Genomic DNA, 13558 nt, shown 5'->3' on the forward strand with positions numbered 1-13558 from the left:
ATTCATATGCACTATCTCCTATTAGCTAAGGCCTCTTCTCTGCTGAGTTTTAGGCAGAGGCCTAAGTGCTACAACAGAAAGTCCTGCAACATATAGTCAACTTCAGCTATATATATACATATATATATATACACATATACACATATATATATATATACACATATACACATATATATATATATATACACACACACACACACACACACACACACATCCATGGATAGGAGCAGGATATCAGTGCAGGCACAACAAATGTGTGAATAATCCTAAATAGTGAATAGTTATTTTTATTCTTGATACAAGATCATTTTATTTTTGTATAACTTTTTTAGGAGTTGGGATAACCTTCCTAATTTTACTTGCTAATAATCCTCATAGTAAAATGAGTAAATTCATAAATCATATACCAGATGGCCCAGGGAAGCAGCCCATGAATGTGTTAGGTGGCACTTATAAAAAGGCTTTTTGGGAAAGGATAATCTTTTATAGTTATGCAAGGAAATGATGTGATTCACTAGATTATATGTGTTTGGGGATGAGAAAGATTAGAAAATTAAGGCAGTTTTTTAAAAAGGAGGCATGAGATACAGCAAAACAACTGGATGGAAGGCATTAAAGGCAGAGACTGGGGGGTTTTATTTCTATTCTGGAGAATGAACCAGACTCCAGGCCTGTGTGCGCCCCCACTGTACCCCTTGCTTCCTTTCCAAATAGCCAATAAAAGGCTGCAATGAAGTGTGTCTGACAAGCAGTCCCAATGGCAAAAGAATATCAAGACTGTTTCAATTATGTAGAAGAAATGTGGAAAGGCTGCAAACAGACACTGACAGTAAGGTATTAAGGTGTTATAATAGCTTTATGAAATATTATAGGAGAATTCAGAGTTTGATAATAGGTATTTGACAGCTTTCTACCTCTTAGATAGCTTTCTGTTCTCTGTAGACTCAAGATAACGTTAATAAATAAGTTTAAGACTGCTTAAGTATGGCTCTGTTGTTTTTTCCTTTTTACAATAAATCAAGCAAGGTGTTTAATTTCTCAGTGAGTGTAGCAAACACATAAACCAAAGTGAGTTCACAAAAACTTGGAAGCTGAGGATTATCATTTAAGAGCAATATAAACTGATCTTAAAAAGCTCTAAAAGCAATATTGTCTTCAGCTTTCCTAAAACTGGTTTAAATGTCATTTCTTTGAAATTGTATTTTTTAAATATAACATTTACATTATTTGTAGCTTCTGGCTGTTTGTTTGCATCACAAAATCTTAAGTTTTAATAAGGTGACTGCACTAGAATGTATGATCCAGTGTCTCAGAATATCTTAAGTTCCATAAAAGCAGGGATCTTTGCTTTTGTTTACCAATGTTTCCCAAACATCTAGTATAATGCCTGGCTCATGGCAGGTGCTCTATATAAATCTGATGAATTAATTAATGAATGAATCATAACTAACCAAAGGAAGCCAGTCACATAAATGGTCCTTACTTTGTTAATGTCCCAATTCAAAAGGTAAGCAGAAGAGTTTTCAAAACACTTTCTAGCTTTTTCCTGTCCTTTCCCTGGGTTAGTCAGTGACAGGACTGCTCTGTTCAGAAAGACTTGCCTTCATATTCCACTTTAGCTTTCAGGCAATAAATAGATTTCACTCATTTCATGCCATCTCAGAAAACCCTCTTTCCTTTAAAATGAGACATTTGTCCCCAGTAGCACACATAAGCTCTATGCTTATAAAACACTTTTCAAACTTAGAAACACCACACGAGAAATACTCAAACACAAACAAATATCCCTTAAGTTAGGATCTACTCAGTGACTTCTTATAATGGTTAATTATGTAGAATACAAACTTACACTAGTTAGCCAGGGCATATTTACTTTACTCCTTGGAGAGAGACCACTCTCAGTGTTCACTATAAATAAGCTTTATATTTCCTAGATGTAAATACGAAGATATGGAGATGAGAATAATCATTCTGGTTATGATGCCAACATTCATTATCAGGGAATAACACTATTCCATGATAATAGCTAAATACAACTTGACAGACTATGCCTAACTTGGTAATTATGCCTCTTACCCTTTTTTCCCCAATACACAGTGTATTTTACTTTGAGAAGACCTGGCCTTCTAGCTTTTGACATCTTTGGAAAAAAATGGCAGCTTTTTTGTGGGTGCAATAACTTCTCAGTAATAACTCATCTAATCGTGGGGGTGTAGATTTTAGATGACTGCTTTGGAGACAAGACAAAGTCCCATTTCTCATGTATTTTAAAATTAAAAACTGCTAATTTGGGGGTATTAGCAATACCCAGATTCATTTTAAAATAAGTGCTGAATCATCTGTATATTTGGGGACAGCTGTGGTCGCAAAGAACCAAAATACTTTTGTTTGTTTGCTTTTTATGGCACCTATTACAGCTGTTGCCAATAATATTACTCCTCTGACCTCTTCCATTGACATGTCTTAATCTGCCATAGCAATTCTGAATATGTGTAGGGCAGGTAAGGACAACATTTAGGAAAATAGTGTTATTGATCTTATTTTAAAATAAGGATTGAGGTACATGAGAAAAGCATCAAACCAATTCATAACGTCAGTAATTTTAAGAATCTTTATATTAAATACTATTAATGAGAGATTAATAGAATTTTAGAATTTTAATACTTCTTAAAAGTAAAGTCTCTTGGCTAGTGCAGTAAAATGAAACCATGCCGAATTCCCAAAGGGCAAAAAGAACTGACAGCTAAACCTCAGCAATTAGAAACAATATTGTTTTAATGTTGTCTTCTTTGTTTTTTAGTCATTTCAATTGTAAAATCAACTGAAACTTAGGTTCTCGCCATCTATATAAAAACTGAGAGAGGAGGCCTCAGATTGTATGCAGTGCCACGGAAAGCACTGTGTGCATATTATATTTAATGCAATACAGATACTTTAGCTTTAATTTTAAAACAAAACTCAAGAAATCTTTATCTCCACCAAAGAAGAATACAGCATTTGCATGATAATATAGTTGTGGTAGCAGTAGTGGAAAAACAAGATACAGCCACATAGACAGCAGTATGTAAAAGGGAAGAACCTTGTCAAACCCATCTCTTAATCTACTTTTTGTGTCAGTGATAAGGAAGGAAAAAGGTAAAAATACAGTATACTTCACGAAACATCATCCACTCAAAAAAGTGTCTGGAAAAAGTACAGGAGAGAGAATGGAACCATTCGCAAATGTGAAAAACACATATATCAGCGAAACATATGCAGTTCTCAATGCAGTTACATAGGAAATGAGTTTTGAAATGATCTGATTCTCATATTATCTCTGGTGTATTATTCAAGTTGTCAGTTACTGCTTTTTCTACTCCTTTCCCAATTTTGTGGCTAATAGACTAAATACCACCCTAATAACAAAAAGGACAAAGTAGCCCATTTAAGAAACATGAATTAAATTTCTGAGTTTATCTACATCTATGGTTAATTTCAACTTTTGAATGAGTGGTTGTGAATAGCCTAACTCCCTTGGGAGAACTGTAAAAATAATTGTATGTGACCAAGATGAAAGCAGAATGTATTCAGCTTTGGATATCAAACACAACTTGTGAATTTGGAAATGTACATCCTTCTATTGATATTAGCTAGTGTCATTAAGCCATAACAAACAGTAAAGCTAATATTCTCTTCTCAAGAAACAGAATTTGTCTTTGTCTTTAAATAGCCAATGTGAAAGATGTAATAAAATACACATTTTCCCCCTACCAGATCCATGATGGCTACCTTTGAAAGAGGACTGATATAATTGTATATAAACTTGGCTTTGAACTATTTCACAGGTAAACCAATGGAAAACTGCCAGTTACACTTAAAGCAAAGAAAACATGTAAGAATTCTCCCACAGAAATTTACCGTTCCTACGTCAAGCAGTTCCCTAAATAACCACTGATTTATCCAACAACCTATAACAGTTGGGCACTGACTTTATGCATAACATTTGCTAGATGTTGCTTAACTTCTCCTTTCCCAAAGGACCCTCATTCTCGTCCTGATACTTTGGGTGTATCTGGATGTTTTTCACTTGTGAAACCCACTCTTCAGAGAATGCCTTTCAATTTTACCTTCAGTAAGATGCATGATGCCCTTCAGAGTAACTGATGTTTCTGAGTTAGAGAAAAATTCACTTGCTATCAACAGGTTGCAGCGAATTTGCTGGCCTTTCTTTCATTTCCCTAGAAACACAGGATGTGAAGGAACAGAGTAGCAGGAGGGAATCACAGATGAGAAGGAAAACTGTCGCCAGAGAAGATGAAAAAAATTCATGCTCTATACTGTGTTCATCTGTAAAAAGACAAAATGTGGTTAAGTTTATTACACTGATCTTGTGAAATGCAGACTCATACATTAAACATTGCTTGTCTATTCTAGAATGAAGTAGTAGGAAGATACTTGCAATGGCAAATAAATACCGTGGAATAAGAGGGCCTTCAGCATGTACTATGTATTATCCTGGGCTAATCAAGACCTTTTATATCACCTAAGCTGACGGATTATTACTCTGCTGCCCACTGGCTTAATTTTGTGAATCCATCCAGACTGCATAAAGCTTTTTGCTGTTATGCAAGTCTGGGGACAGAGCAACGTGTCAAATCTGCTCATGTGAAACGGGTGAGGAAATGCTGAGCCATATGCCAGAGGGAGAGAGGAAGGAGAGGGAAATGATACACTTCCCCTAAAGGCCACTCAGTGGGTAAAATCAATGACTGTGTTTCAGGTACAGACTAAAGAAGCAGAATTACTAAGAACCCCTTCACCTTCCCCACCAGTGCCTTCTGCCCAGCTGCCTTGACCAGGACAACTTATAGTAAGTAAACTGTTCATCCAAAGGATACTAGCCTGCCAGTGACTTCCTGTCTGACTTCCACACTGGTCTTTCCCCTTAGACCAGATGCTTTCAATCGAGGATGATTCTGTCCCCTGGCAATGGCTGAAGACATTGCTGATTGTCCCATCTGGCTGTGAGGGTGCATGTGCTTACTGGTATCTATTTGGTAGAAGCCAGAGGTGTTGCTGAACCTCCTACGAAGCACAGGAAAGCTCCCCACCCCACCAATCCCCAACAAATAATTCTGAAGCCCCGAATACCAGTAGCACCAAGACTGAGACACATGGCACTAGACTGGAAAGCCTCTGGAGAACTTTTTTTTAATCCCAAGTGCTCAATAGTGTGTGGTACATAGTGGGCTCTTAGGAAAATTATTTTGGATTGAAAAGCACAGTGAAAGTGTTGCCCCTATGTTTCAGTCTAGCTTATGTTTCTCTTTTCTTTTTCTTTCTTTTTTTTTTTCAAATTGGAGACGGAGTCTTCCTCTGTTGCCCAGACTGGAGTGCAGTGGCACCATCTTGGCTCACTGCAACCTCCACCTTCCAGGTTCAAGCGATCCTCCTGCCTCAGCCCCCCTAGTAGCTGGGATTACAGGCACACACCACCATGGCTGGCTAATTTTTGTATTTTTAGTAGAGATGGGGTTTCACCGTGTTGGCCAGGCTGGTCTCAAACTCCTGATCGCAGGTGATCCACCTGCCCCGGCCTCCCAAAATGTTGAGATTACAGGCGTGAGCCACCGCGCCCGGCCTGGCTGATGTTTCAAATGTGTGCTTAATAGGGTGGACCGTGGGGGTAAAGAGAGGGAGGGAGGGGGAGATAGATAGATAGAGGAAGAGAGGAAGCCCAGATTCAGATCCTGTCACTGCGTGACCAGGGCAAGTGGCTTAACCTCTCTAAATCTCAAAGTCTTCATCTATCAAAAGGGGATTAATAGTACCTAGCAGATAGGCTTGTTAAATTAGATGGCATACGTAAAATGTTTAGTATAGTAGACAGAAAGTAGTAGACAATTAATAGCTAGTCCTATCATTATGAGCTTTGGCTAAAGGCCTCTTGGAGAGTAGACTGGTTCTATTACAGTCCCAGAGGAAAACACTGATTACACAGGAAATCCAGACTAAACAAATGCCCAAGTCATACTGCAGAGAACACTGGTGCTCTGGCTCTCTTGGACAATTTCCTCAGGAGCCTATGGTCCTGTTGCTCCTGAGGCTGCACCAGGCGTTGGCCCCTGGTACCACCCTCTTTCAGAGCTGCAACCTCCAGACTTGGCAGAAGACAGCCAGCTTGGGGAGAGCTGCTTCTGTTTCAGAGTATACACTCTGATTCTAAGAGTAGATGCTGGATGGAAGTCATGGCCAAGGGGCAGGACAGCAAACCATTGTGAAGTCAACCCAATTTAGAGACTGATTCAACCGTTGTCTAACCAGTGCCGTGCCTATATTATGAACTCTTTTTCTTTTCTTTTCTTTTTTTTTTTTTATATTATAGCCTCTTTTAGCTCTTTAAGTCTTCTATGGGTTTAATGGGAGGCTTTAGTGGTGTATAGAGGGTGTGTGTGTGTGTGTGTGTGTGTGTGTGTGTGTGTGAAATGGATTTATTTTATTCTACAAATGAAATGAATAAAATCACCTGAAATGGAACGGAATGGCTACAGCGAGTGTCCAAAGACCACAAAACTGTTTCCTGACATGTGCTTAGCATATTTAAATTGTTCTCACAGTATCATCCTGAGAGCAGAGAGAGCAGTCCAACTGCTCCACAGGACTGCAGAGAGGGAACCAATCCATCTATTTTCTCAATAATGGTGATGACAGAGATGGAATGCTGATTGCCAAATCCCAAACACATACGGGCCTCTCACCCAAAGGCCATGATGCCTTTGTCTTAATAACAGAATAAACCCAATCCTGTACAAACAGCTTCTTCAGGGTGCATGTTTTGAATGGGGCAAAGATTAGCTTTTTGTGGGAGGCTTTCCAGGATACCGGACAAAAGCATGCACTAGAGACTCACTAGGTAGATTCAAATATTCTTTCTACCATTTACTAACTGCTTGATCTTAGTCAAGTTACATAAAAGGGGCTGTGTGGGGAGGAGGGGCTCTGTTCCCACATCTGTCAAAGTAGGAATAACAATAACACCTAACTCAGAAGGTGGCTGTGAGGACTGAATGAGTTACTACCTGTGAAGTACATGGTATACTGTAGGTGCTTAATGTCACCTATTAATGGTGGTGGTGATGATGATGTAATTTGCTCAGGAACAACAAAGGAGGTATAAAAAATCCCCCCATTTTACAGTTCCTGTGATGTAACATATTTTCTGAATAGGGCTTTATATTTATTCCATTTTTGTGCCAGGCCTATAGCAGTGTTGGGAGCGAAACTCTAGCAGGATCCTTCTTACATGCAGAAAAGGTTCATTTTACACTTGCCAATAGGAATGAAACTATTTCGCTGCCACAATAGCTAACTGTTTTTCTAAATGGCCTATTTCGTCAACAACAATCAGGAAAGTGTAGGAAGGTACAATCTCTAATGATTGTAGCCCGTGCTTAAGGTGAGGAAAAAAGTCAAAAAATTACACATGAGAAACCTGAATCCAGGCAGATCTTACTGAGGCCTTATCATCGCATTCCCCAAATGTCTGAAGAGTGACGCCCTCTCATTCTCGCTCACCTTTCCCCTCCCTGCCTTCCTCTCTTTGTTGAGCACCTACTTTTTGCCAGGCACCGGGTATACAGTAAGGAAGAAAGGCCAGTAATAACTCAGGATATTTTTTGGAAGCATTAAATAAATTTTTAAAAATGAGCTGGAATAGCTCCATGTGGAAAAGAGCTTAAAATTAAACAGCATCAGCAAAAATCCAGCCAAGCAAGCACAATCTTTAAGAGGAAGGATTTTAGGCTGAAAGGCAAACAATACTAGTTGATATACTAAAAAAGCACCCTCCAAAAGGAAGATGTTCCCTTTTGTGGACAATCATATTCCCATTTCTATCACGAATCTCATTAACTATTTCACTCCTTGAACCTTTTACTCTTGGCAAGCCCTTCACAGCCCCAGGAGCTACTTGTACAAATTAGCTCTCAAATATAAGGCAGATGAAGTAATCTCATTGCTGCTAAAGTATAATTCTCTCTAATTACTGTAACTACCAAGCGTTAGTCCCTCCCTTTCTAAAAATAACACTCCCTCCCCTAGACACAGTGATGAAATCGCATTCCGAAGAAAAACATTTGCTTATCAAAGAAATCTTAGTTCCTTAATATATGAAATTTCTACATGGACAACTTTAAAGGGGAGAGGAGGAAACCTGAATATTAGAAATGTCACTTGTTTTTTGGAAGGTGCTGAATGCGAGGAATAAAAATCCCACTGATGATGTAGGTGGTTTAAATCCAGCAGCTCCAACTTGTCATGGCTCATCTGAGCACTGCACTCTCCTTGGCTCCGCCAGGGCTCCCTCCCGCAGACAGGCCCGGGATCTGCCATGGTGCGCTCCCTGCCTCTGAGCACACACACTTATTGAGAGCTACACACAGGCCAGCCGTGGTACTCACCATACTGTCGAATTCTACAGAGCCCACTATCCGAGACACCTCGTCAAACTCCTCAGGAGACATGGGGAGCAGGTTGTCTGTGGTCTGAAGTCTAGAAGGGTGACTAAAATGGGGAAAAAGAAAAGAGCAATGTCAACATCTGAGTGATGAAAGCACTAGTGCATACTTACACACTTTATCTTTTGTCTGTAATTGAATTATCACGTTATATTTTTATTTTGGGTAAGTGCATACACTTGTAAAATACATTTGCAAAAGTACAGCTCATGGGAGGCTCATGTCCCCAGCCCAGCCCCTTGGGAAATGTTTCACACTCCAGGGATGTGATAAGCAATAGCCAGACTGGAATCTGTGCCGCTTCTGCCTGGGTAAGCCTAGGTGTGAGCATGTGCGGTGCACTACCCTGAGATGACAATGCCTCGTGGCTTACCCTGGACAGAAAAGCACCAGAGAAATGTCTGGGGAGTCCCTCATCCCTACCTTGAGGTTTGAATGCAGATAAAGCTGCTCCACACAGTGTTTTTACATGAAGGCTACATCCATTCACCCCAAGACAGTGCTGCAGGCCAAATAACTGACAATGACATTTCCAAAATTTTTTCTACCTTTTATAAAATGAAACAACAAAATCAAAGCAAGTGGAGACAGTGTATCTCAATCATTACTTTGGCCTTTTCTAGATTGAAAAGAACTACTTTCCCACTCTGATCAACTTTTGCTCATTTTATTTATACTTTTTCAAAGGGTATCAGTTTTGGGAAAATTTATATACCTTAAATACAAATTTGGTTTTTGGCTTTTTTTTTTTTTTTAAAGTAGTAAAATGCTGATAGGCAGTAACACGGGGATCTCAACAAGTTCAGCTGTGATGGCGATAGCAATTACAATGGAAAAGTAAAATACAAGCATCTTCAACAGGCCCCAGCCAGGAGCAAGGCTGGCTTGAGGTTTGTAAACATGTCACTCTTCTGTGTTCACTTACACTTCAGACACAGAAATCAACTCAGTCTTGATATATCCAGTTCCTTTAGGGCCATCAAGTTCCATTGGCTCTGGTGCTAGAAATAAACACATTGTGTACGCTTTCCATCAACCGAAATTCCATCAGAATACAACATCAACTTTTCGGGGGGATTAAAGTTCTACTGTGTTTCTAGACAGCTTAGCCTCCTAAAACTTTAAGGAGCTATAACCTCCCTGCCTGAGTCACCTAAAATTCTAGTGGGAATGCAGAAACAACGAGAAGAAGGATCTGAATTCAGTCTGGAAATAAGCTAGTGTTCAGCAGGACACTAGCTAGGAGCTTTCTCTTTACACAACTTGAAATCTTACAAGAAGTCTGAGCCCAAAATATGCAAAGTTCTATCCAGTTTATTGGCATTAGCCTGGCTAATGAATATTCACAGCTGTCAAGGTAAGCTGGGGACATCTTCATTCCAAAGTAATTGTCCTAATATTGAGATTTCTGATTCTGAAAAACAGCTTTGTTGGTGTGTTCCAAACAAAACAGGTCTAATTCGAACCTTCTCAAATGCAATTCATTGACAACTGAGAAGCAAGAGACCTGTGTTCTCAGATGAGGCCTCCTCTTAATAATTATCTAATAAAAATAGGATCTAGTAAGTAATTGGGCCACCCTAAATGAACCACTTCACTTCTCCCAGGCCTCAGTTTCCTCAACTTTAACGTGAGCAAGATGCCTTCTGTTGGTTTACCACAGTTCCTTATTTAAACCCTTTTCATGTGGAAACAGTGATAGTAACAAATACACAAGACCAGCAATGGACTTTTCCAACATTCCTAAAATAGGAAATTGTCCATTCATTTCTTACTAGCTGTATCAGGCCAAATAATGCATTATGTTTCACCTGCACTGAGTTTATGCCATCTTTTGAAAGCCTACTCTTACCAATTCGAAAGCAAAACACTGCATGGGTGGAGTTTCAGAATAATCACCCCCTCATCAGGAAAGACTGTGCCACGCTGTTACCACCTGCTTGCCCCACTTACCTTCCTTTGGCCTGGAGTAATACTTTCCAAAGGCATGGTCTTTGTCAATATTTGGATACAGATACTTCAGGGGATTCTCAGGAATATTCTCAGCAGCCATGACTTTGTAATTGCGAATGATGTCAGGGAAAGTAACAGCAGAAAGTTCTTTCTTCGTGTAGGGTTCAACCGCATGGAAGTCAGGTTCTAAAAAGGAGAAAAGCTAAGTAAATCCCATAGAACATCCCAAAATGAAAGAGGACAGAGAAATAAAACACTGCAGAGTTGATGGATTTGAGTGAACCTCATAAGAACTAATCACAATCTAAGCATTATAACATATACAGTAGACTGCTTTATTTCTAAATAAATTATAATACTGTCTCAGGGAAAATAAAGGGAGGTATTATTCTCAATAACATTCTATTTGCCATTATTTGCTTAGATTTATAAATCTGGGCAAAAAAGATTTATTAAAAACCTTTAAAAGCCTGCATCTTCAATGATGTGCTGCCCATAGGCACATAAATAACTTACTACTAAGTGGATCATCTTGGCTTAAGCCACAGATTTAAATTACTAGAGATAAACTCACTTTGTTTTTCTTTTCATATTGAAAAATCTAATTTTTTATTAAAATAAATTATGATATATAGAAAACAACATTTCAAATTAAAAATGATCCTATTTGCTACATTTCCCTGTAACCCTTAACGTAATAAACCATGGTTTAATTTACTCCCGTTCTTATTCCCAGACTGAATTCAGATCCTTCTTCCTAGCTGATACAGAATCTCCCTTTGGGTGTCGACCTTCCAGAGGCCACGGTTCAGGTGTTCTGGGGAGCCTGCTGTGGAACATGAGACTATGCTGCCATCCTAACCCTTCCTGGCTGGTAGTGTCCTGCTTGACCTTTCCTGGTTGCCAAGGGTTTTCTTCATCTCTGCTTGGTCTACTATATCTGTCTCTCAGCTGGTTCAGGAAGGGAACAGGATAAGAGGAAAAGGGCAGGTTCTAATGACTACTGCCCACGCCAGACTCTCATCTCAGCCTCCCTGCTTTTTCCTCAGAAGAAAAATAGAACAAGAAAAGTATTCCAGAAAAACAAATAGAACAAGAAGAGTATTCCTGAAAAATAAACAGAACAAGAAAGAATACCGTTCCAGAAAAAAAAAATAGAAGAGTATTCCAGAAAAACAAACAGAACAAGAAGAGTATGGCAGAAAAACAAATAGAATAAGAGTATTCCAGAAAAACAGGAGAAGAGGAATATTTCAGAAAAATAAATAGAACAAGAAGAGTATTCCATTTTGTGTCTACCCACTGAAAGTATAAAAATTACTAAAACAAATCAGTTTTTCCTCCTGCCCTTCAAACAGACCAAACTCTAAACAACAGTGAAAAGTAATCAGTTGGTCTTTATGATTTTTTCATTTACGCTGTTGAGCTTCACCCTCAGAAACCTGCTTCATAACACCAAGGTTTCTGGAGTCTTTTAGCCATGGACTCATTTGATTAAATAGAAACCCCATATATGATAAAGATAAATTTGCAGCTGCTCTGTTTGAAGGCAGGGTAGAGGCTGCCACTCGTCCCAACAGGTCCTGCATCAACTCCCTGGCTGATGATGTGTATGAAGTCTTCTCCCGAAGCCTGTCTCATCTGCACACTCTACTCTGGGATGACCCTAAGAGAATGTGGATGCTTACTCCTGTGGGAAATGTGATTCCTTCCAAGAACGGGTTGCAGATTACATTGACTCACATCCTTGATCTGCAGATAACAAACCTGATGCAAAGGAAAGAATTGGCATTGTCTTTTCAAAACCATCATTTCCACAATATGTTCCAGAGAGTGAACCACAACCACAAACATTTGTGGTGGTTTATTAAATCCTATCGGGGGCTCATTTGGGGTAAGTATAAGATCTGCAATTTCATGTCCCAAACGCACTATCTGTATGAGCTGACTGGCGGCGATGAAGAGGGACTTCACACACATGGAATGGTGGGACTATGTGCTCAAACTCCCACTCACCGCCTCCGTTCTGGGACCGCTCCACCCATGTGAATGTGATGGCCCCTTCCCGGGAGCTCTCACTGAACCGCAGCAGGAAGGTCCCCGGCTGCTGGTCCTTCAACAGGGCACGCTCTCGCTCCTTGCTGATGAAGCCCATGATGCACCTGGATATCGAAGAGATGGACGGATGGGCTTTTAGTTCAATCATGATTTCCATTTTCATGCTAACTTACAAACCAAGAAAATGGCTGGAATGTGAGAAAAAAAACCTACGGTAAAAAACGTAGACTATTTTAAAATCTGTTCAGTTGACACTTAAGGAAGCATTTCACTTATACATGTATATACTAAGGTTTTAAAAAAAGCGATATGAACATGGTGTCAGTAGGATGCTACAGATGCTCAATAACACGTGTGGGATTAATGAGCCTTTTATTGTTCCTTTATTATTTTAAAGGCCATAACAATGTCTGAATGTATACATCTTTTTTACTGGAGAGGAAGACCTAGGCAATATATTTTCATATTTTAGCCCTTCTGATCAAGTTAAAGCTTCTGTTGAAATATCAGCCGATCCTGGCAATAAGTCAAGATAGAAATGATTTACCCAGTTAAAAGGGTTTTTCTTCCTTCCTAGGGGCCACATAGTAGGTGCTCAAAAAATTTTTGTTGAGTGAATGAATGCATGAATGGCACTCAAGAGTTGTTTTTTTTTTTTAATTTAGCTTTGCCAATACATATACTTGTACTAAGAAAGTGTAAGGTTAATGTTATGAGGTTCTACTCTTCTGAAGCCCTGAAGGGGCAGCCTATAAATGCGCACTCCTGTGAGATTCACACACGCCTAGTCAAATACTGAAGCTGGACTCAGGCCTTGTCTCAACCTCGCAGCACTAAAAATATGTTTCAAAATACATCTATCGGTGGCCCTTACCCATCATTCCAGAGAGGGAGCAGGTGTTTTTTAATGAGTTCTAGGATGCTTTCAATCCAAAGCCAGAAGGGAAAATTTTTATCATTTATATTTTCCTGAAAGTATACAAATGCAGACATTATGAACAAAAATCTAAAACAATGACTTACCATGGCCCCTCCCACCATCATTTGCAAAG

General features: G+C 39.3%; 1 protein-coding gene across 15 annotated transcripts in view; it reads right to left on the reverse strand.

Moving 5' to 3' along the window:
- Nucleotides 2758-13558, reverse strand: part of STAT1 (signal transducer and activator of transcription 1) — a 45023-nt gene continuing 34222 nt past the window's right edge. For 11 of the 15 annotated variants that reach the window (NM_001437284.1, NM_001384890.1, NM_001384883.1 and 8 more), the window contains 6 exons: nucleotides 13381-13475; nucleotides 12465-12610; nucleotides 10449-10634; nucleotides 9421-9496; nucleotides 8439-8541; nucleotides 2758-4326 (listed from right to left, as the gene is read on the reverse strand). In NM_001437284.1, the coding sequence (NP_001424213.1) occupies nucleotides 4312-4326; nucleotides 8439-8541; nucleotides 9421-9496; nucleotides 10449-10634; nucleotides 12465-12610; nucleotides 13381-13475 (621 nt within the window). In that variant the 3' untranslated portion in view covers nucleotides 2758-4311. Of the gene's footprint in view, nucleotides 4327-8438; nucleotides 8542-9146; nucleotides 9521-10448; nucleotides 10635-12464; nucleotides 12611-13380; nucleotides 13476-13558 lie in introns of those variants that run through there. The other 4 variants (NM_001384889.1, NM_001384886.1, NM_001384884.1 and 1 more) reach the window with 4 other exon arrangements.

Source organism: Homo sapiens, chromosome 2 (assembly GCF_000001405.40).
Source record: "Homo sapiens chromosome 2, GRCh38.p14 Primary Assembly".
Lineage (NCBI taxonomy): Eukaryota > Metazoa > Chordata > Mammalia > Primates > Hominidae > Homo > Homo sapiens.